Source organism: Homo sapiens, chromosome 11, assembly GCF_000001405.40.
Source record: "Homo sapiens chromosome 11, GRCh38.p14 Primary Assembly".
NCBI lineage: Eukaryota > Metazoa > Chordata > Mammalia > Primates > Hominidae > Homo > Homo sapiens.
The window spans coordinates 90157341-90182178 of NC_000011.10; the positions used below are offsets into that span (position 1 = coordinate 90157341).

At 35.7% G+C, this 24838-nt stretch overlaps 1 protein-coding gene across 8 annotated transcripts in view, besides 1 other annotated feature; it reads left to right on the forward strand.

The window, feature by feature from the left end:
* NAALAD2 (N-acetylated alpha-linked acidic dipeptidase 2) overlaps nt 1–24838 on the forward strand; it is a 61196-nt gene that overhangs the window by 25642 nt on the left and 10716 nt on the right. For 3 of the 8 annotated variants that reach the window (XM_017017043.3, NM_005467.4, XM_017017045.2), the window contains 11 exons: nt 805–898; nt 1899–1997; nt 5609–5694; nt 5970–6089; nt 6195–6277; nt 11589–11652; nt 12729–12796; nt 16484–16575; nt 18632–18722; nt 20513–20777; nt 24280–24361. In XM_017017043.3, the coding sequence (XP_016872532.1) occupies nt 805–898; nt 1899–1997; nt 5609–5694; nt 5970–6089; nt 6195–6277; nt 11589–11652; nt 12729–12796; nt 16484–16575; nt 18632–18722; nt 20513–20777; nt 24280–24361 (1144 nt within the window). Of the gene's footprint in view, nt 1–804; nt 899–1898; nt 1998–5608; nt 5695–5969; nt 6090–6194; nt 6278–11588; nt 11653–12728; nt 12797–16483; nt 16576–18631; nt 18723–20512; nt 20778–24279; nt 24362–24838 lie in introns of those variants that run through there. The other 5 variants (XM_047426168.1, NM_001300930.2, XR_007062427.1 and 2 more) reach the window with 4 other exon arrangements.
* Nucleotides 10368–10568: a silencer, noted in NCBI's record as "peak1387 fragment used in MPRA reporter construct". NCBI's record gives its function as "represses an SCP1 promoter by STARR-seq MPRAs in K562 erythroleukemia cells {active_cell/tissue: K562}" and the evidence as "EXISTENCE:reporter gene assay evidence [ECO:0000049][PMID:32103011]".

Here is a 24838-nt window from a genome sequence, read left to right on the forward strand (position 1 = left end):
TATCTTGGCTGAAAGTCACAGTTCCAATGAGGTTTTAAGGCTGGCAATACTTTTCAATCTTCCTTGAATGATAATATATCACTATTTGAATAAGATGTTTCTCATTTTTTCCCAAGATTGCATATGTTCTCTTGTTTTTTTTCCAATTATTTATAGTTTCAGAATCTGGGACACATTTTCTAAGCATCTGGTTAATAACATTTCTCTAAGAAAGATTCAAGAGATCCTTGAGGAAATAAAATATTCTTGTAAAGGTCAAGAAAATTATGTGAAATGTCAAAACAAATTTGGAAAACTGCCATCTCTATAATTAACATTACCTTAAAATATAAATGATTTATTAAATAAAGATGTATTAGGTAAAACAATTGTCTGACTTTTGGGGAACTTTTTTTTTTTCAGACAGAGTCTTGCTCCGTCTCCAGGCTAGAGTGCAGTGGCGTGATCTCGGGTCACTGCAACCTCTGCCTCCTGGGTTCAAGCGATTCTCCCACCTCAGCTTCCCAAGTAGCTGGGCCTACAGGCATGCGCCACCACGTCCAGCTAATTTTTGTATTTTCAGTAGAGACGGGGTTTCACCATGTTGGCCAGGATGGTCTCCATCTCTTGGCCTCATGATCCGCCCACCTCTGCCTCCGAAAGTGCTGGGATGACAGGTGTGAGCCACCACGCCTGGCCAGGAACTTTTAATTTTGGCATAATTGCAAATGTATAGCAAATCTGCAACGGTTATGCAAAAAATCCCTGTATATCTCTTGCTCAGATTTTTAAATTGTTTTCATTTTATGCATTTGATTTTTTTAGAATACACTTTCAGACTTGATGTTGAAGAAGGAGTGGGAATCCCCCGAATACCTGTACATCCCATTGGATATAATGATGCAGAAATATTATTACGGTATAGTTTTCTTGTTGGATATGAGATTAAGATATTTTGCACTAGTTGTCTATTTTCTCATTGAAAACCAATATGGCATTCTTATGTTAAACACAAAGTTTTATAACTAAATAACTCCTGAAATAGGAATAACAGAGTATACTATCTTTTTATTTCATAAAAGTAGTCATTTTAGTGACTAAGAAATCAAAATAAAATATCGCTCTGTTCGCTACAAATGAAATTCTCAAATACAAAGCTATGTCCTAAGATAATTCTGATTTGAGATTTTTCAAGCAATTGAATTTTCATAGGTATTCATTAGATATTTATATTCAACGTCTAGTATAAGAATATGACAATGCCCCCCACTTACTAGAGGTATGACCTTGGATCAGTTGCTTAAACTTTCTCCAGCTCAGTTTCTTTATTTGTAAGATGAGGCTAGTAACTGTTTCTCCTTGATAGGGTTATTATAAGATCATATGAGTAAAATACATAGCACCGTATTTAGAATATAGTAAACAAACAATTATTGTATTCTATAACTGATATTTCTTTACATATCCCCCAACTCCCATTTTTAAATGCCTGTATGTGTATTACAACTTAATAATTGTTTGGGTGCCTACTGTGTAATCAGCAGCTTTTTTACAAATACATTTCTTCTCCTTAATGCAGTCATTAATTTCCTGTATTTAGGATATCTTGGATTCAGTGAGTCCCCACATAAATAATTAAGGTCAAAAATAAGGAGATAGCCTTCCCATTTGCCATGACTACTTTATTTTTTCTCTTTGCTCTCATCACTAACATATTACGTATTTTACTTACTGATTTCAGTATGGCTCTCTTGCTAGAAAATAAGCTCCACAAAGGGCGGGCTTTTTGACAGTACCTGGCACTTAGTAAATGACAAATATTTGTTATATATATGAATGAAATATTGTCATCAAACTTTAAAATTTCTCCTTAGAAATTGTGGTAGCCTTTTTCTGTCACTTTCATTTTATTTTGTCAGCTACTTGGGAGGAATTGCTCCACCAGATAAGAGTTGGAAGGGAGCCCTTAATGTGAGTTATAGTATCGGACCTGGCTTTACAGGGAGTGATTCTTTCAGGTAATTTTGCATTACTTTAATAGTCTGAAAAAGTTTTATATTTTTAATGGAAACATGTCAAGATAACTGTTCTGCCAGGGGTATTTTGCTTATCTCTTTTTCTCTTTCTAAACAACCATTTTACATTACTTAAGAAGTACTTACACATGAAATATTGAATTATTTCACTAGCAGCATCACAATATTAGTTTCACAGAATCTCAAAAATTAATATATTTGAATATAGGTTTAACATTTCAAAGATTTTTCAAAATTCTCTCTTCAGCTATTTTTTAAAAATAGTTTTTCAAATAACTTACAAAATGATATACATGTGAAAAACTAGGTGAAGGTGCTGGGTGTGGTGGCTCACACCTGGAATCCCAGCATTTGGGAGGCTGAGGCGGGCGGATCACCTGAGGTTGGGAGTTCAAGACCAGCCTGGCCAACAAGGAGAAACCCCGTTTCTACTAAAAATACAAAAATTAGCCAGGTGTGATGGTGGTGCATGCCTGTAATCCCAGCTACTTGGGAGGCTGAGGCAGGAGAATCACTTGAACCCAGGAAGCGGAGGTTGCGGTGAGCTGAGATCGCGCCATTGCACTTGAGCCTGGCCAACAAGACTGAAACTCCATCTAAAAAAAAAAAAAAAAAAAAAAACTAGGTGAAGTTAAGGGAGAGGTAAAGATGAAGAGAGAAGGGGGCCAAAATGTATAGATCACTTACTGTGTGGGTTAAATGAGTTTAAATGGGTAAATCACATAGTTACTATAAGACTATAAGCCTCAATAGAATTAATATTACAATTATTACTGTTATTAATACATGATAATACTCTTCTAGAAGAGATGTGATCACAAATTGTGTGTTTATTGAGCTTAGTCTTACAGAAAGAGTAAAAGTTTACCACTGGGTAAAGGGAGGCAAGAAATGCCAACTAGAGAAATCAGCTTGTACAGAGTAGTTGAACAGCGTGGCATGATCAGAACTTCAAGAAGTTTGATTTGCCTGAAATGTGATGGGAGAGAGAAATGTAACACTGATAAATCAGAGTGCATATAGCTGTTTTTATTAAACCAAAATTATTAAATCAGTCTTCTTTGCTAACAATTTACCCTTAACTACGTGAATTTGGATTCTCAGAATATTTTTTAGTTTCTGTAGGATTTCTTGTATTCCAGAAATTTTAAAGTATTAGAAGTCCAATTTCCTTGTTTTATAATAAGTTTATAAATGTTTGATTTATATGTGTTTATCTCTATCATTAAATCAGAACAGTGCTCTTTTAATTTGGGACTTTATTATCTAATTTGTGTATGCCCTCCAGAGAAAGGAAAATGTAACTTACTCAATGAAACATAAAGCCCTTTCTGATTTACAAACAGAAACATACAGACAGAGAAAACATATAACTTCAGTTCTACAATTTTAGTCACAAAGAGTAAACTCAAAAACATAAACATTCCTAGGTCTAGATATAAAATAGCTGTGCTCCTTCACTGTGAGCATAGAATTCTCTATTGGTTAGAACTCAAAGTGGACAAATAAACAACAACAAAACTAAAAACTAGATTCTCTCATGTCTCACCTCACAGAGATCTTGAAAATCCATTAATCCATTTACAGATATTATCAAATGACAAGACATAAAGGCCAACTCCAAATCATTGCTGCCACCAATGAGGACTAACTTAATTTGCCCTAAGCAAAGCAGAAACATAAAACAAAACATCAGTAGAGAAAAAATAAAGCTAGAGATATAGAGTATCAGCAAAGTTAAATTTCTACTGTTGTTTAGAATTTACATATGAGAGCCAAAAGAAGATATGAAGAATTGGTTTAAGCTGCCCATACCTGGTTCTGCAAAATGAATCCATTTTACCTCAGAGTGGAGCCTCCAAAAGTCTTCCACAGTGAGGAAAGGAACACAAACCTTCACTAGACAGATTGTGCATTTCAGTGGATTTGAATTATTTGCATTACTGTCATGTTTCTATAAGTTAACTTCTCTTTACAGAGCTGTAAAACAGTCTAGTTAAGGACACTGACAGGTAAAGTTGACCATAATGGATGAACCAAAGTTTTTCCCAATTTTTCCTTACAGGATTATATTCATTTATTTCATGAATATTTATTGAGCATTTCCTATGCCCCGGGAACCATTCTGGGTTCTGGGGATTCAGCAGTGAATAAAGTAGGCAAAAATCTCCTCCCTGTGGAGCCTGCATTCTAGAGTTCAGTTTATTTGAAACGTGATAAGTTTGAAGTAATAATAGGACAAATAAATATTCTTCTGGAGCTCAAAAATACTAAAAACGAGAAAGACGTAGGTTTAAAGACGTAGATGTGCTTCTTTGAGAATCTTAGCAGATAGCCTATGTTTTTGTTTAGACTAATATCAATTTTTTTCATTCCTCATATGTTGCATTTTTCTTTACTTAATTTTCTTCTTTTAATGACACAATACCGATGAATTTGGGTTTCTTACTAATCATATATCTAAGGCTCATATTTTTAGAAACACATGCTAAACAATATTTCTGCTTTTCTGCTATTAATTTTCATCTGTCAGTAGCAAAAAGAAATCATTTACTTAATGCCTTAAAATGAAAAAAAAAAAAACATCGATTAGTTTTCCTCTGAGGTACTTTTAGTTGAATATTGCAAATGGATTAAATATCAGAAGCACAGTATACTTTTGGTGGGGGTGAGGGAAGCCAGAATTTGTTCTTAACAATATACAAGTTTCGGGGGCTTATTCATTCTTCCATTAAAAAACGATCACAAACTAGAAACAACGGAGGTCTCCCTACCTTTAGAATAAATGATGATTAATTTTGTTCCCTTGGGGAAAAGTAGCATTTTCCCATGTCATCTTGGATTCATAAAATGTGAGTGATACTTTGTTTTTTCTGTCTGGCTGAGCTTGATATTTTCCCTTGTTTTCTAATTCGGTTGATTGTAACTCATGAATGAATATTTAAAAGCCTGACCCAAATCAGAATCAACAATCATGGCCTAGAAACATTTCATTATGTAGTTGTGCATTGTAGCAGGAGCTTCCCAAATTCTCATTTAACAACAGAATTTTTTATGTTTTTTATAGGTGGCACTCAACCAGCTCTTAAACTTACATATCATTTCCATAATCATAAAGAAAATTTTTGAACCTCGGATTTAATATAAATATAAATAGATACATTTAAATAATATGCTTATACTTTTTTCTTTATTACATAATGGGCTGTCTTCTTCGTTTTCATAATTAACTGGGGTATATTTTTACATTTTAGAATAAATATGACATTTTGAATAATAGAATATTTTGAATTTTAAATAAATAACAATTTAGCTATGAGAAAATAATATAAAATAGACAGCTTTTAAAATTTGACTTCAAGGTGCATGCTTAGGTGCTTAGAAGTAAATTGGCATAATGTCTGTACCTTACTTGCAAATGCTTCAACAGTGTTAACAATTATTGAATTTAGGTGGTAGAGATATGAGAATCCATTATGCTATTGCACAGCTTTTCATAATAAAACACTATTATGAAAATAGTTTTTTATAATAAAACACTGTAAAAAACATAATTTGCTGTACTAAGTAATTTATTCCTTTTAAAATTCTAGGAAGGTTAGAATGCATGTTTATAACATCAATAAAATTACAAGGATTTACAATGTAGTTGGAACTATCAGAGGATCTGTGGAACCTGGTGAGTCACATAATTTTTTAAAACATTTTGTTTTTACAAAAATTAAAGGGTAAGTAAAGATAAATTGTAGTCAACAATTGAAGTGGGGTTTTTTGGCTGATTTGAAACTACTAAATTTTGAGGAAAACTGTACAAATCTAAAAGAAGATTTTACTTTATAGTGTTGTCTTCTATAGAGGAAACTCAAGCAAGAGGATGTTTATTTTAAAAACATAAATTACAAATATTTATAATGTATTCAAAGTTGTAGGTTTCTTGAACGTATTATTTTCCAGACAGGTATGTTATTCTGGGAGGTCACCGGGACTCCTGGGTATTTGGAGCTATTGACCCAACCAGTGGGGTTGCTGTTTTGCAAGAAATTGCCCGGAGTTTTGGAAAACTGATGAGTAAAGGTAAACAACCTTTCTTTCCTAGGTGATGACAAAAAGTGACTTACTGAATTTTCTTTTATTTTTTAGGCAGTTGTACCTAACCACGTGTGTTAACAATTCTTACAGGCTGGAGACCTAGAAGAACTATCATTTTTGCCAGCTGGGATGCAGAAGAATTTGGACTTCTGGGTTCCACAGAATGGGCTGAGGTAAATAAGACAAAGAAGGTTCTTATTATTTTTTTGGTCAACAGGGAACAAATATGTATGTGTCTCAGGATGATCAAAAATATATTCCATTACCTAATATGGTTTTGTTTTGGAGAATGACTCAAGACAATTTAAGAAATAGTTTATTTTTACTTTCACATCAGTTTGGCAATAACCTTTTAGTACTAGACTGCAGACAGAGTTATTGCCTCTTGTCAAAATATTTTCGTTGCCATTTGCATTTGTTTTATAAAAAATAAGAAAAATCAGTAAGCTCAGAAAATAATCAAAATTAATGAGATATTTTTGATGATAATTTACTTATCTAAAAACTGATACAGATGCTTAGAGCTAATTTTCAAGTTTTTGAAGTTTCTTTAGAGTTCTTCCATCTGAGAAAATATAAGATGTTCTATTAAGATGGCCATATATTGACTATATTTTCACATTGACAGATTCCATTTAAAATGGCAACCATAAGTATACTTTAGCATTTACAACAGATATGTGCTTCATTGTTAAGTATAAAGTGATAATTCTGTGAATTGAATTACTTTAATAAATTGACCTGCTTTACAATTTCATAGGTGGGGTTTTTTTTCTTCACATATGATTGTCATTTGTCACTGACTCTTAATTATTTATATTTAAGTGTCTCTCCTAGGGCCCTTTTCTTCCAACTTCTTCCTTTAGTCTCTCTGTCAAGTAATCTCTAAGTTCTTAAATGTAGAAGGTAAGCACATTCATTTTTTTAACTTTTAAGTTCAGGGTACAAGTGCAGGTATGTTACATAGGTAAACTGTGTCATGGGGATTTGCCACGCTGTTCAACTACTCTGTACAAGCTGATTTCTCTAGTTGGCATTTCCTGCCTGCCTTGACGCAGTGGTAAACTTTTACTCTTTCTGTAAGAGTAAGCTCAATAAACACACAATTTGTGATCACATCTTTTCTAGAAGAGTGTTATCATGTATTAATAATAATAATTGTAATAATATTTCTATTGAGCTTTACAGTAGCTATGTGATTTACCCATTTTAACTCATTTAATCCACACAGTAAGTGATCAATAAATGTTGGCTCCCTTCTCTCTTCATCTTTACCCCTCCCTTAACTTCACCTGGTTTTTCACATGTATATCATTTTGAAAGTTATTTGAAAAACTATTTTAAAAACTAGGTGAAGAGAGAATTTTGAAAAACCTGGTTTGAAATGTTAAACCTATAACTCAAATGTAGTAATTTTTGAGACTCTATGAAACTAATATTGTGGTATTACTAGTGAAAGATTATTTCATCACCCAGGTATTAAGCCCAGTACCCACTAGTTATTTTTCCTGACCCTTTCCCTTCTCCCACCTTCCACCCTTTGAAAGTCCCCAGTGTGTTGTTCCCCTCTATGTGTCCATGGGTTCTCATCATTTAACTCCCACTTATAAGTGAGAACATGTGGTATTTATTTTTCTGTTTCAACATTAGCTTGCCAAGAATAATGGTCTTCATCTCCATCCATGTCCCTGCAAACAACATAGTCTCATCATTTTTTACGACTGTGTAGTATTCCAAGGTGTACATGTACCACATTTTCTTCATCAAGTCTGTCATTGATGGATATCTGGGTTGAATTCATGTCTTTGCTATTATGAATAATGCTGCAATGAACATATGTGTGTATGTGTCTTTATAATAGAATGATATATTTCTTTGGTTATATACCCAGTAATGGGATTGCTGGGTCCAGTAGTATTTCCAGGTAGGTGCACTACATAAGTACTTACCTTCCCTCCTCCATCTGCTAGTTATCATTTATAAGTCCAGATTTTATAGAGCTGTTTTAAAATATGGCAAACCTGTCTTGCCATTGTGTTTAGTTTTGAAAATGCTTTCCTCCTAACTCAGTTTCTCTTACATTAGTTTAAAATACTATAATAGGAATAATATGAATTAAACAAATACAGAGGGGGTAAAAATCCCACTCACAATTACTTGTCTGGTATCACCCTTTGTTGATTACATTTACACTGCGAATTGTTATTTTCACATTGGTATTATTAATGGGCATTTTGAAACTATAACATTAATTTGATGAATCAAATTTTATTAGTTCAGGTCATTATCTTTTTTCCCCTTGCCCCTGTGGTGGGTGAGGTCATTTGCTTTTAGAAACATGCGATTTAGAAACATGTGATTTCTTGTGATACATATATAAACACATATAAACACATGCATCTGTTTTTTAAATTTCAGCAGCTGAACATAAAGAAATCTAATATATAAAATAATAAAAACGCTTTGCATTAATTTATAAACATGTGCATTAAAAGGCAATTTCAATACACTTTCCAGTTTTGTGCCAGGTTCTTGATTATATTCAGTAGCATGCTTACCTTCTTTAAATACACATAAGGAATCTTCTTTATTTTCACTATAAATCTGTTATAATGGAAACTCTGATTTTATATTTCTCTGTAATGGAGTCAACTATCACCTGGCCTATGCAGGCAAGTGCAAAGAGGTGACAGTTTTTATTTGTGCCATAACCACACACAGCTTTAAATGTTTTTACTATAACATATTTTAGAAAGCTAACAAGCTAGAGAGAGCGGTGAAGGGCTCTCTCAGCATGTTCCTCTCTGTCTGTGTGTTAGTTTTGCTTTACTTTTTCTTTAATCTGTGTCTGTGTGTGTGTGTTTGTGTATGTGTATGAGAGAGAGAGAGCGAAAGAGTCTTATTTTTGTCTTAATGTGTGCCTCCTCTAATTTTTTGTCTTCCTTTTTTCTTTCACTTCATATACATAGTAAATATAAACAAATGGAAATTTTATATTTCTCACTTTTGAAATGATAAATTTACTTGGGTATCCCCTCCATAAATGGATGTCAAACTTCAATGTATGTAAGTGTCAATTGCCAGTTATATCTATTAGGAAATACAGATTGGCTGGGCGCGGTGGCTCACGCCTGTTATCCCAGCACTTTGGGAGGCCAAGGCGGGCGGATCACGAGGTCAGGAGATCGAGACCATTCTGGCTAACATGGTGAAACCCCACCTCTACTAAAAATACAAAAAATAAGCCAGGCGCAGTGGTGGGTGCCTGTAGTCCCAGCTACTCGGGAGGCTGAGGCAGGAGAATGGCGTGAACCCGGGAGGTGGAGCTTGCAGTGAGCAGAGACAGCGCTACTGCACTCTGGCCTGGGCAAAAGAGCAAGATTCTGTCTCCAAAAAAAAAAAAAAAAAGAAAATGCAGATTTCCACCCGGCACGGTGGCTCATGCCTGTAATCTCAGCACTTTGGGAGGCTGAGACAGGTGGATCACCTGAGGTCAGGAGTTCGAGAACAGCCTGGCCAACATGGTGAAACCCCGTGTCTATTAAAAATACAAAAATTAGCCAGGCGTCGTGGTGAGAGGTGACAGCATGCTGGCAGCCCTCGCTCGCTCTCGGCGCCTCCTCGGCCTTGGCGCCCACTCTGGCCACGCTTGAGGAGCCCTTCAGCCCGCCGCTGCACTGTGGGAGCCCCTTTCTGGGCTGGCCAAGGCTGGAGCCGGCTCCCTCAGCTTGCTGGGAGCTGTGGAGGGAAGGAGCGGGCGGGAACCGGGGCTGCGCGGGCGCTTGCGGCCCAGCGAGAGTTCCGGGTGGGCGTGGGCTCAGCGGGCCCGCCCTCGGAGGCGCCGGCCAGCCTGCAAGCCCGGGGCAGTAAGGGGCTTAGCGCCTGGGCCAGCAGCTGTTGTGCTCGATTTCTCGCTGGGCCTTAGCTGCCTCCCCGCAGGGCAGGGCTTCCGACCTGCAGCCCACCATGCCTGAGCCTGCGCCCCCGCCGCGGCCGCTGCACAGCCGGAGCCTCCCGACGAGCACCGCTTCCTGCTCCACGGCGACCAGTCCCATCGACTGACCAAGGGCTGAGAAGTGCCGGCGCACATCGTGGGACTGGCAGGCAGCTCCACCTGTGGCCCCGGTGTGGGATCCACTGAGTGAAGCCAGCTGGGCTCCTGAGTCTGGTGGGGACTTGGAGAATCTTTATGTCTAGCTAAGGGATTGTAAATACACCAATCAGCACTCTGTATCTAGCTCAAGGTTTGTAAACACACCAATCAGCACCCTGTGTCTAGCTCAGGGTTTGTGAATGCACCAATCCACACTCTATATCTAGCTAATCTAGTGGGGACGTGGGGAAAGAACTTTTGTGTGTAGCTCAGGGATTGTAAACGCACCTATCAGCACCCTGTCAAAACGGAGCAATCGGCTCTCTGTAAAACAGACCAATCGGCTCTCTGTAAAATGGACCAGTCAGCAGGATGTGGGTGGGGTCAGATAAGAGAATAAAAGCAGGCTGCCGGAGCAGCAGTGGCAACCCTCTGGGGTCTCCTTCCACGTTGTGAAAGATTTGTTCTTTTGCTCTTTGCAATATTGCTGCTGCTGACTCCTTGGGTCCACACTGCCTTTATGAGCTGTAACACTCACCTTGAAGGTCTGCAACTTTACTCGTGAAGCCAGTGAGACTACGAACCCACCAGGAGGAAGGAACAACTCCAGATGGGCCGCCTTAAGAGTAACACTCACCGTGAAGGTCTGCAGCTTCACTTCTGAGCCAGCGAGACCACAAACCCACCAGAAGGAAGAAACTCTGAACACATCCGAACATCAGTAGGAATAAACTCCGGACACGCCGCCTTTAAGAACGGTAACACTCACCGCGAGGGTCCGCGGCTTCATTCTTGAAGTCAGTGAGATCAAGAACCCACCAATTCTGGACACAGTGGCACACACCTGTAATCCCGGGTACTCCGGAGGCTGAGTCAAGAGAATTGTTTGAACCTGGGAGGCCGTGGTTGCAGTGAGCTGAGATCGTGCCGCTGCATTCTAGCCTGGGCAACAGAGTGAGTCTCTGTCTCTAAAATAAAATAAAATAATAAAATACAGATTGCCAGGCCTCACTTTTAGCCTCACTGTGAGTTCTGATTCAGTAGATCTAGGGCAGGGCCCTAGAATATGGGAGCCACATCCCTGCATAGTCTGATGCAGGGAATCAAGGAACCACACTTTGAAAATATTTTTTTTTCTTAGGGCTCTCTGCTATTGCTATAAACAGTAGCTATTGCTTCATAGTATCCTTAATTCTTATATTAATTGCGTAATTGTTGTTAACAAACTGGTTTTCTGCATTTTCTCAGAAATTAGGGTCACAGATGGACCTAGCTATTTAATTGTGAAAGATACTTGTAAACCGCTTTTCCACGAAATTAATTTGCTTATTTTGTTTACATTTTCACAACTAAGTAATGTGAATTAAGTAACAACTTTGCTTCAACTACAGGAGAATGTCAAAATACTCCAGGAGAGAAGCATTGCTTATATCAACTCGGATTCATCTATAGAAGGTAAATTTTATTTCAATTTGAAGTGAAATTTTCAGAAAGGAAATTTTACTTCAAGTAACTTTTATTATTGAGTAGAATACCATCTACTAAGACTATAAATTCTAGCTTATTAAGCACCTCAGATATCCCCTTCCTTTGAGATGCCTCAGTAATACCTTTATTTTTCATTTTGCCACAGAGAAAATAATTAGGATTCATATGAATTGATATGATTCATAACTAAGCTATTGCTTTTAATTTCTTTGATATATTTACTATTTGTTTATATTACTACTTAAAACTCTAGTATTAACCACATATTTTCTCGATAAAGATATTAATGGAATTTGGCTAAAACAGTTCAGAAGAAAGGTTTTGCAGACTATTCTGTGTAGAAATATTTCCTGTATTTGTTGTAACAAATTTGAAGTAAGTGTACTCACTTACTCACTCCTTTTGAACTACAAACTCCTATTGAATCTAGCTCAGGATCACCTGAGCCCAGGAGTGTAAGCCATAGAGAGACCCTGACTCTCAAAAAAAAAAAAAGAAAAAGAAAAAGAAAAAAACTGATCTGGATTGTCTACGCCAACAGGACTTGATTTCTGATTAGCACTACTATGGAGACAGTATGATTCAGAAAATGAAGAGATTCGTGTCTCTAGGCTTTCATTGCATTGTGATTATTTCTAAATAAATGTTAGAACCTAATAATTACTGACATGGCTTTGTCTAATATCTTGATATATACTATTGCATAGAATGAAACAAGTAAAAAATTAATGCTACAGACTTACCACTTCCTTTGCCAAAGTGCCCCTAAGAATTGCTGCCATGAGAATGACCCTTATAATCACTGTGACAGCTGCTGCCTTAGCAACCAAAGTCCACCAAGACCTTCTACTATTCAGAATATTTGGTGCAGGCTCTCTTGCTCCTGAAGAACTATTTCCACCCTGTTTTATTCTTTGGGAATAAAATCTTTGATTTGAAGATCATTATATCTTGTTTAAAATTAGAAAATAAAGTTAGAATTAAACAAATGGAATTTCATTTAGAAGTATGAAATAATACTCTGTGTCTTATTTATTTTTCAGGCAATTATACTCTCAGAGTTGACTGTACTCCCCTTCTTTACCAATTAGTGTATAAACTGACAAAAGAGGTATATAAGGAAATGTGTCTTCATATGTTCTCTTTTGAATGGATAAATGAATAACGTGTGTTCCCCCCTAAATTAATGGTACTTATTTTTAAGCTGGTGAGAGAACATAATAGAATCATATAAACAAAACAAAATCTTTAATATGCCATTTACCTATATGACATAACTAAGAAGATATTATCACCAGCTTCTTTGTTCTAGCAATAGTTCTTATTAATAATTGTGTAAATAGTTGTAACATGTATTTATCTGGCAGAGGTATTTGATATAGCAGAAAGAACACTGAGTTGGAATAGAAAGGCATACAGTTAAAAAACTGTCTTAGCTACTCATTCATTCATTCAACAAATATTCACTGAGTGGTCACTATATGTCAGATTCTACAAAATGAATTATAGCAGCAATAGTGATAAGGGGACAAGGTCACTGAATTCGAAGACTTTGTAATCTAGAGAGGACACAGATTGGTAAATGAGGAATTAGAATTCACTAGAATATTTGATACTATGTATGATGGAGAACAGTTATGGAATAGAGAATATTAAATCCTGAGGTGGCTGGGGGAAGTTGAGGAGCATAAGAAGAGGTTTGCAGAGTCACTGATGTTTGGACTGTCAAATGAAGGGATGTAGAAGTAAGGGAGAGGGCATTCTAAGCAGAGGACACAGTATCTAAAAAAGATGTGGAGGTTTAAAAGAACGTATTTCCTGATCTGAAGGTAGCTCAGCATGGCCAAGCCAAAGGCGTTGGTGGGAAAGATGGTAAGAAATGAGGCATAACCAATGGGCCAAGGAGTTCAGAAATCTGTTATGGAGAAATCATTAAAGAATTTCTAACAAGGTTGTTCATTGTTTTATGTCAGTGTAGTGAATACATTAAGTAGTTGCAAGTCTAAAGGCAAAATGGAAATAATTCTGCAGGCTTGCTAATCTCCCAGTAATTTATAAATATTAAATGAGTTATAGATATTTTAAGAACTCTAAAATCTAAAGGACTCTGAATCTCTAAAACTTATATAATCTACTCATTTAATATCTGTGAACATCATTTAAATAGTTCCTTGCCAAAGAATTTACCTGTGGAAATGTTTGCTTCAAGGTCATCCTTAGATAACAATATGAAGTAGATATCACTTCTCTCTGGGTACTATTAATATTTCCTCCCTTAATCTTACCCCTCTCTTTTTCATGTCTTTAAAAACTAGTTTTCCAAATGAAACTCCTCTCATTTTCCTCATCACAATGCTCTCACCATCTTGGGTAGCTGATGTCTTTGATCCTTTCATTGGAATGTTCCATAAAAGCATCTTATCTAAAAGTAAGCTGAAAAGAAAATCTTTACTGAGAGAACCCTTTTTGGAACAGGAATTTATGATTTGTGCTGTCCTAGAGAGATGATCCCTGGCCTTGATGTCAGGAATGATAAGAATTTGGTGGTTGATAAGGGAGAAGTTGACATCTGTGCCTCTTTGTACAAAGATAAATTCTTATCTGTGGGCATGCCAAGACCCAGTAGACAAAGGAGACTTGTTTTTACTCTCCTGTAAACTGATTATTACAATTTTATTAATCCCTAGTGTGTGTTAGCACAAATAGTCAAGCCATATTGGTGACTTGAGGATAGTGTAGGGGTGAGAGACAAGGCTGAGCTTGGAGAGAAGGGCAGCTGCCAGATGCAGCAAGAAATGGGGCAAAGTGTTGCTAAATAAGAGGAGGGCTATCAATTCTGACAATGCATGTAGCTGAGGTAAGACTCATCTAGCCGAGTGTGGTGGCACATGCCTATAGTTCCAGCTGAGGCAGTAGGATCACCTGAGCCCAGGAGTGTAAGCCATAGAAATCCTGACAAAAAAAGAAAGAAAAGAAAAAAGAAAGAAAGAAAGCTGATCTGGATTTTCTAGGCCAACGGGACGTGATTTCTGATTGGCACTATTATGGAGACAGTATGATTCAGAAAATGAAGAGGGTTTTACTGGGAGTTCAATCCAAGCAGGATGTAGGAACTGGAACAGAATCTCTCTCAACCATTGTAAATTGGCAGGAGCAGAGTAGAGAGTAGAACCCAGTCAGCTGGCTAGAAATGAGCAGAACATCTCTGCAGCTGCCTCATGTTGGTGAGGAAGGGTGTAGAGTGCCAAGACTTTCTAAGCTGTGGACCCTCTATGCAGTCATAAAATATCATCTCATTCATACAAAGCTAAGGGCAAGTGACCACTTCCCAGCCCTACCATTACTCTGTGGATGGCAGTGGATTCACCACTGTTACCTTCTACTTGAAGGCTGATGAGGGCTTGTGTTATCAGTAGACACAACACATTTGTGCCTCTAAATAAGTGGGGTGAGATTGAAACAGGGAAATTGTTCAAAATCATGTGCCAATACCCAACATCTTTATTAGATGCTCTTAAATTTAATTGCCATTTTCTCAGAAAGCCCTTACTTGGAGACATATCTATCTCTCATCCCCACATCTCTTTATAGCACTTTGATATTTTCTTTTAAACTGCTTATTATAATTTTGTATTACAAAATTTGTTTGGTGTGTGTATCCCCAATTAGATTTCATTGTGAGGTCCAAGAGGGTAGAGACTATGTCTCTGTTTCCGCATCTCTTTTCTGAGTTCAGTGCTTAGTAAATATCTATAGAAAAATTAAGAATAGTGGCACAGAAGTTAGAATAACCAACTCTGTCTAAAGGCCAGAGAAAATACCAGATGTTTATATTCAGAAAGGTACCATTATCCCCAGTTTTACAGGTGAGAAGACTAAGGTTCAAAGAGGGGAACAAATACACCAAGTTATAATGCTTTCACAGTTACTTAAGTAGGGTCTGCCTTGGGTCTATTTTTGAGCAAATCAGTGTTATAAACAAACAAGAAAACAAAATATAGTCAATATGTGTAGTAGTCTAGATTTAAAATAGACCAATTTGACTCCACAGTCCACAATGTTTTCACCACATGTCTCTGCTCTTCTTAGAGTGTCAAAAGACAAGGCAAGTATAAGTTTGTAAATGTATTTTTAATGAAAGGAGTAAAAATGTATATATATACACACACACACACACGAGCTCTTAAAAATTCCCAAGTAGAAATCTGAGGTTATGTAGAGTTTTTTAAAAAATCCATAAAATTTTAACTTTGTTTAAACATAATAAGACTGTCTAAAAGAATAGTCCCAGCGCTAACCCCTGCCTGCCCTGCAAAACCAAGACTTATAGGTTAAGAAGCTGAGCTTGAAATTATGTCACCTCTATTGTTCTGAGACCTCTTTATAGGTCTTATTAGGCAAAAATAATTTACAAAAGCAAATGTTTTATCTGAAGTTTTCTCCAGTGTCTTCCCACTAAAAGAAATCTAAGCTGCCAAACATTAATTAAAATGGCATTTGTAAAGATTTTAAGTTCTATTTAAAAGTTTACCAAAATAAGCAGGAAATTACATCTTAGGTACATGGCAAAATTACCAACACAGGTAGACATCATGAATAAAAAATAATTTGGGCTAGATTTATTTCTTGCCATTTGCAAAAATATAATTTTTCTATAAAACATATACATGTGTATAAATATATACATGTACATATGTTATTAAAAGTAGAAGTTGATGACAAATAATATATAGTTTTATTTTGGCATAAATGTAGTTGCTTCTACCCCTAATTTCCAGTATTTGATTTCTCTTTCCAGATCCCCAGCCCTGATGATGGGTTTGAGAGTAAATCACTGTATGAAAGCTGGTTGGAAAAAGACCCTTCACCTGAAAATAAAAATTTGCCTAGGTAAGTTACTGATATGCACCTTTTCTACTGTAGGATAAGTTATGAATTCCCCTCTGCCTCTTGTTTCTCCAAGCATGAAATTCTCAAGCGTCTCATCAATAATTTGAGCCAAGAAAAGATAATGAAGAATTCCTGGCCGAGCCCAGTAGCTCACGCCTATAATCCTAGCACTTTGGGAGGCCGAGGCGGGTGGATCACCTGAGGTCAGGCATTGGAGACCAGCCTGGCCAACACGGCGAAACCCTGTCTCTACTAAAAATACAAAATTAGCCGGTCATGGTAGCGGGCACTTGTAATCCCAGTTACTCAGGAGGCTGAGGCAGGAGAATTGCTTGAACCCGGGAGGCAGAGGTTGCAGTGAGCCGAGATCGTGCCATTGCATTCCAACCTGGGCAACAAGAGTGAAACTCCATCTCAAAAAAAAAAAAAATAAGAATTCTTCTATCCAGTTTTGTTTTGCTGATTAGCCAGCATGTGAAGTCTTTCAGTCTATGTTAGAGCACAAATAGATCTAGTTTTGCAAATTTTTAGCCAAAATAGTTTCGCTACATTATTAGCCATTAGTTGGCATTCTTGCTTAAAATTTCATTTACATATGTATTAGGTGTATTAATATATAATATAACTTCAGATGATAATGATGAAAAGACAAATGCTAGATTATTTGCTTGTAAATTTATTAAGGAACATTATCAGTAACCACCAAATTGTGTCTTTACCTGTGATTTAGAATTTATATAAATATTATTTTATTTTTTATGTCATCTCATTCATGCTACAGCAGCTTTCTTAAATTTATTTTATATTTATTTGTTTTTATTTTCTTTTTTCTAAACATTATGTAATAAAAAGTATATATTTGTTTTCTACTGTAGTGCCATTTCTAATACAGACTGAGCATTCCTAACTCAAAAACCTGAAATCTGAAGTGCTCCAATATCCAAAACTTTTTGAGCACCAACATGATGTCACAAGTGGAAAATTCCACACCTTATAGCACTTAACACAAACTTTGTTTCATGCACAAAATTATTTAAAATATTATGTAAAATTAAGTTTAGGCTATGTTTATAAGATACATATGAAACATAAATGAATTTTATGTTTAGACTTGGGCCCCATCCCCAAGATATCTCACTGCATATATGTAAATATTCATAGTTGGAAAAAAATCTGAAGTCCAAAATATTTCTGGTCCCAAGCATTTCATATGGGATACTCAACTTGTACAAGCAAATAATAGTAACAGTTTATAGCTTTATTCCTCATTTCAAATCAGTCTTGTGAAAGTTTGAATGTGGGTCCATTATAAAACTTTCACATGCCAATTCAACAAAAACAGTAAAATACAAAAATGATTTCTAAAACATTGAAGAGGTCAGTCTCAAAAACATATCTACTAACCTAATAGTTTGGAAATAAACAGTTATGTTATTAATGAACATGCAATTTTATATTCTGCTTTCATGACTTACCATTATTTTACTAAAAATTTTCATGTCTTACATTTTATTTATGTATATGCATATATATGTGATAGATCAACAGAGGTTTCCTAATCATATGCAAAGAAATAAATTATAATTAGATTTATTTCTAAAATGAGGCACATTTATATTCTTCATGATTTTAAAAGTAGATTTTTTTATGGCAGTTTTCTTACTAGATGATAGTTCTCTGAGGGTAGGGCCCACGTCTTCATTGTTTTCCCCTCTAAACAAAAATGTAAATGCTGAAGATATGATGGAGAGCATCATCACAAGATGCAGTCTTTGGTGGCACAGCCCAATTCTTGTTATAGGTTGGTGCAAAAGTATTTGCAGTTTTTGCCATTATTTTTAATTTTCAGCATTACTTTTAATTTTACAGCAATTTTCCTGCAGATTATGGGAAAATGTCTTGATGGTGGTTGACCTTTTTTAAATTCTTATAAATGTAATATATAATTCCTTGCTATTCTTGGGGCAGGATTCCTTGTCCCATCTATTTAACTTTGTATCATTTACTTGTTTATGTGTGTGTGTGTGTGTGTGTGTGGATTGCATTCTACATCTAGAATCAATAAGCTGGGATCTGGAAGTGACTTTGAAGCTTATTTTCAGAGACTTGGAATTGCTTCAGGCAGAGCCCGTTACACTAAGAATAAGGTAAGCCATTTTATCATTTTGAATATATAACATTTCATCTACAGTCCTTTGGCGAAGAATGTCACTGAGTTGTTTGGCACCAGACACCTGGTGGATGTGGCCTGGGAAGAGTTCCCAGGGATAGAGATAGACTGCATGTCCCTTTCCAGATGGACAAGGAAGCAATTTGAGTAATTTTGTGAAAATTTCATTGTTAGGGTTAATCAAATAAATGGTGATTCACAGAGTAATGCCAGACACTTATCTGGTTAATCAGTACTAAGTAGTTCACATCCTTTTCCTGATTTGTCAGAAAACTCTCATTCTCTAGACTAGTCTTGCAGGCTCTGATGTACTTTTCATGAGGATAAATGCAGTTGGAGAACATATTTTGGTCAAGAGGAGCATTAGGGTAAGATTCATTATTGTCGGTAGCTCCTCTTCATATTGCCACTTCTGCCTGTCACCTGAGTCAAGGGTTCTTGGTTGGGAAATAAAGCAAGTTTCTCTTTTAACTTGATCCCCTTTTCTGTTCTGCACTGACTGGTTTGCACTACTGTCACACAGACATCCTGATGATATGCAGGTACTTGGATATAACCAATATATACCATGTTTGCTCATCAATGTTATAAATTATTTCATAAACCAAATTGAAGATTACAGTAGCAGACACAGATTTGTCATAGATTTTAATCAATCTTCAAATCATAATTACAGTACATCTAAATCTTGCTTGCCCATTATATGTATATCACTTGCAAATTTGACTGTTCAGAATACAACAAAGAACAAAGAAATAAAAGCAACCCCAGAGTAACCCAAAATAGATAAACTCAGAATGCTTACATTCATTACAATTAATACATAAATGATGTGTTTTAACTCTTTGTCAAGGCCTGTTCACTTTTATACTCTGTCTTCTGTAATTTGCTCAAAGTTATCTAGTTTCTAAGACCACTTTAGATTAGAAGCAGATAATTAGATAGAAGGAGAAGGACTGATAAGGAGATTGCTTTTTAGTGATACTAACAGCAGTAAGAACGATAGCCATACAAGGTGGCAAATAATAAAAACTAAAATTAGAAAAGGCAGACCGAAGAACTAAAAAGAATATTTATACGGGATACTACTATGTAATAATTCATATTCATAATGGTACCTTAATTATGTAATAAAGCTTAAATGACATTTAGATATACACTGTTTGAGAAGGAAGGGAAGTTACTTAAATAAATCATCCTTAAGCTGTGTACTTAGCTGCCCAGAACCTTTTTTTTTTTTTTACCAATCAATTGATAGATAACTTTGAACTATGCTGAGGTGCAATTTGAATATGTATTCCCTAATTTTAGTTATCGAAGATACAAGGAGAAAATGTTCAAGGTGTAGCATCTTGAATGAAGGTTACATAAATTATAAAACAAATAATGAGAAAATTTTTAAAACCAGTGAATATTTGGCTATAGTGTTTTCGTTATTAGCGTTTTGCCTCCTTGTGGTAAAACTCAGGGTGTTATATGGTTGTATTTTTTCTTTTTCTTGTTTTTTTTTTTTTTTTTTTTTTTTTTTTTTTTTTTTTTGTATTTTTAGTAGAGACAGGGTTTCTCCATGTTGCCCAGGCTGGTCTTGAACTCCTGAGCTCAGGCAATCCACCTGCCTTGGCTTCCCAAAGTGCTAGGATTACAGATGTGAGCCACCATGACTGGCTGGTTGTTATTTTTTCTATAGTTATTTTTATGCTTACATAAAAATATTATAACTTGAATATTTAATGTTTATTTATACTTGCCTCTCCATTTTTTTTTCAGAAAACAGATAAGTACAGCAGCTACCCAGTGTACCACACAATTTATGAGACATTTGAATTGGTAGAGAAATTTTATGACCCCACATTTAAAAAACAACTTTCTGTGGCTCAATTACGAGGAGCACTGGTATATGAGCTTGTGGATTCTAAAATCATTCCTTTTAATATTCAAGACTATGCAGAAGCTTTGAAAAACTATGCAGCAAGTATCTATAATCTATCTAAGAAACATGATCAACAATTGACAGACCATGGAGTATCATTTGGTAAGAAATAGTTGGGCAGATATTTTACAGTCTTTAAGTTAGAGCTTTAAGATATTATCTCCTATGATGATCAATGCATATTGTTTCATCCTAGAATACATATTTGCCTTACTTATTTTGACTTCTACACAAAAACTTAAAACAAACACCTATTAAAGAATCTGATTTAATCTGGCATGTATAGAATGAATCCATTATGGCTGAGTTATTACCACAAACATTGGGATGGTAAACATTTTTCTTGTATTATGGCCTTTAAAAACATTTTTACTGGCTGGGTGCGGTGGCTCACGCCTGTAATCCCAGCACTTTGGGAGGCTGAGGCGGGCAGATGATGAGGTCAGGAGATCGAGACCATTCTGGCTATTATGGTGAAACCGCGTCTCTACTGAAAATACAAAAAACTAGCTGGGCATGGTGGTGGGCGCCTGTAGTCTCAGCTACTCGGGAGGCTGAGGCAGGAGAATGGCGTGAACCTGGGAGGCAGAGCTTGCAGTGAGCTGAGATCGCGCCACTGCACTCCAGCCTGGGCGACAGAGCAAGGCTCCTTCTCAAAAAAAAAAAAAAATTTACTGTTATAGAAACAATATTAGAAAAATGTAACATTATTTGCAAAAGATTGAGAAAGCCACAAATACTATTACATACGTATTTTTAATTATTGTCAACAAAATGATTATTACTGCATATATCTTTTAGTGTTTGTCTATATGAAACATTTTTTCCATGGTTATAAGTATACTTTCCTTTTATTAATGACTGTTTAGTGGTTGCTCTTCTGCATTGTGCATCTCCTATACAGCAAGGATGACTCATAATGCAGTGTATGTAGTAGCATTGAGGATTGAGTTTGGAAGTGGTTTGCCTGGTTCAGATACTAGCTTTACCAGTTCTTCGTTATGTGACCTTGGGAAAGTTACTTAACTTCTCTATGTGTTAGCTTTCATACAATTAAAAGATAAAAAAGAACATATCATGTTTCAAAGATCATTGTGGAGATTCAGTTTGGTAATATATAGAAGCTGTGGTGGGTAGCACTTAGTGCTCATTAAATATTACCTATTACTGTTTTATTACAAACATTGTCTTTTATTATTCTGGGGGCACCTATTTTTAGTATATACCCAAATTATCAAATATGCCCTGAGTTTCTACTGTGTACCAAGTACTATGTTATTACCTGGGAGATATAAATGTGTACAAGGCATGGTCATAGTCCTAAGAAAGCTTAAAGTCTCATGTGGGGAATAAAGCAATATACAGATAATAGGTTACTATGGGGCTATGTAGAGAGTACTATAAAAACACAGAAAATGGGTATGGAATAGTAATGACTTCTGAATATTATTATATAAAGGATTAGTAATCTTTATATAATATTATATACAGGATTAGTAATAATAGCAAATACTATGGTCTAGAAAAAAAATGAAGCAAATAAAATGTGTTTATATCAATACAATTGGAGTATCTCTGCAGTGATGGGGGAAATAAGGAGAGATAAAACCAGAGAAATAAGCAGAGCCTACAGCAAAATGGACATTGGTAGTTCTGTGGCTATTCAGCATCCAGTTGTCTTCCTAAATTCCCTGATTTCCTTTTGGTGAATGATCTTTTATCAGTTTTTATAAGTCAGGGTCCAATTAAGAGACAGAAACCACACAGTTAGAGTGGAAGGGCTCTCTTTAGACAAGGTTAATTCTTCTACCTACTTACCTTCTTAGAGGCCTGGTTTGATCTGTTAATTCCTTTCCCTGTCATACTTTCAAAAATCACCATTACTATTGGTGACTATCCATTAGATTAATTATTCTTATAGCTTTTCTATTTCAAAAACATTTCTTCTGCCTGATGTGTCCCACTTTCTTCACAATCAAAATTCTTCATTTAGTGCCAGGCAGAAACAGTTCCTGAGAAAATGTGTTAGTGTAGGAATGAAGGTATAATTGATGAATGAATGAATGAATGAATGAATGAATACATAATCTACACTCCCTGTCTATAGTTTTTTACCTCTCACTAGCCAATCCACTGTGCTGTCTTATGTCCTTTCTACTCTAGTAAAACTGCTCTTGCAAAAGTCGTCATTGACATGTGTTACTAAATCCCAGGACACGTTTCAGTTATCTATCTTGACTTCTGTCCTGCATTTGAAATTTAAAATTCTGTTTTCAGCATTCTTTCCTCATAGTTTCTATTCTATCTCTTATTACATTCTTTGGTTTGAACTTGGCTTAAAACAACAATTAAAAGTTAAGGAAAATCTAGGACTAAAAGACTAGGACTAAAATCTAGGACTAAAATCTGGGACTAAGAAGGTTTTTAAAAATACTGAATATACTTATACTGAATGTACCACTTACTAGCTAAAGCATTTAGAGCTCAGGATTTCTATTAGGTCAGACCTAATAGAAATTAGGTAATAGAAATAGAAATTCTTTCCATTAGGTGTGACCTAATAGAAATCCTGAGCTGTAAGTGCTTTATCTATAAAATGAATATCGTATCTCCTGATTTGCTTGCACCACAGGATTGATGCAAGCAACAAATCAATAATGTATGTTTAAAGTCCTGTGTAGAAAATATGGAAAATAATAAATTGTTGTAATAAAAATATAATATAGTCACCTCTCTATATTGGTGAGTTCTGCATCCATGTATTCAACCAACTGCAAGCCAAAAATATTCAGAAAAAAAAACCCATTAAGTTTCAAAAAAGCAAAACTTGAATTTGAATTTGTTGTGCTCTGAGCACTACATTGAATCCACATGAAGTTATATATAGGCATTGTATTAGGCATTATAAGTAATCTAGAGATGACTTAAAGTATAGGGGAGGATGTGTGTAGGTAACAGGCAAATACTATGCCATTTTATATAAGGGAGTTGCTTCCATGGAATATGGTTATCTGCAGGGGATTCTGGTACCCAGGCCTCACTGATACTGAGGTATGACTGTACTGAGAACCTAATCACTTTCCTCAGAAGCATTGTGAATTAAAGAAGAGTTTGACCAGATCAAATCTGATCCTCTTTCTCAGTATCTGGTTATATCAGTTTGTCACAGGTTGCCTGTTGAACAAGATCTTAAATGCACTATTTGAAAACAAGAATTGGTATTTTTTTTTGCCCTGTAATAATTACAGAATCATATCCTATGCATAGCTGTATCCAGTGTCTAGCATACAGTTGTTGTCCCAATGAATGAATGAATTAATAAAAAAATGAATTCTGGGTTTCTGGTAAACTATGGGTTAAGGAATTATTTGTGTCCTAGATTTTTGAAAGTCATTTCCTTTAAGAAACAATGTTACCATTTTTTGTTTTCAAACAATATTACTTTGTTATATTTTCTACTAATTTTCATGGATCTGCAAGAAGACTCAGTAGAAAAATGGCTTCGACATCTATGTGGTCATATCAATCTGGAATGGGGAGGGTGGGAAAGCGAACCTCTGAAATATGAGCTAATTTCTCTTCTTCTTTTCTATTTTTAAAAAAGACTCCTTATTTTCTGCTGTGAAAAACTTCTCAGAGGCTGCTTCAGATTTTCATAAACGACTTATACAAGTTGATCTTAACAAGTAAGTTTCAAATCCCTTTTTTTTTAAAAAAAAAAAAAAAAGCAATCTGGTTACTAGAATGAACTGTTTCACTCATATTAGCATTAACCTCTAAATCACTACTATTCAAATTATAGTCTGCAAATCAGCAATAGCAGTAGTACCTGAGAACTTGTTAGAAAGGCAAAATATCAGACACCAACCAAGACATGCTGAATTAGAATTTTGCATTTTAACTACCACCCCCACCCCGCCCTTCAATGATTTATACTAACAGTAAAGTTTGGGGAGCACTGCTCTGAATGGTAGACTAAAAACTCATCCCAAAGAGACAAGGGCCAAAGGTACCTGTCATTAGGAGTCTGCATGATGAAAATTCTGACTACAGCTGTAAATTCATAGCTTTATGAGTTTAAGTGCGTTTGTAATATATTTTACTAGTTCTTTGTTCAGTACTCCTGTGTACCAGTTTAGAAATTCTTTTTTCATGGATAATTT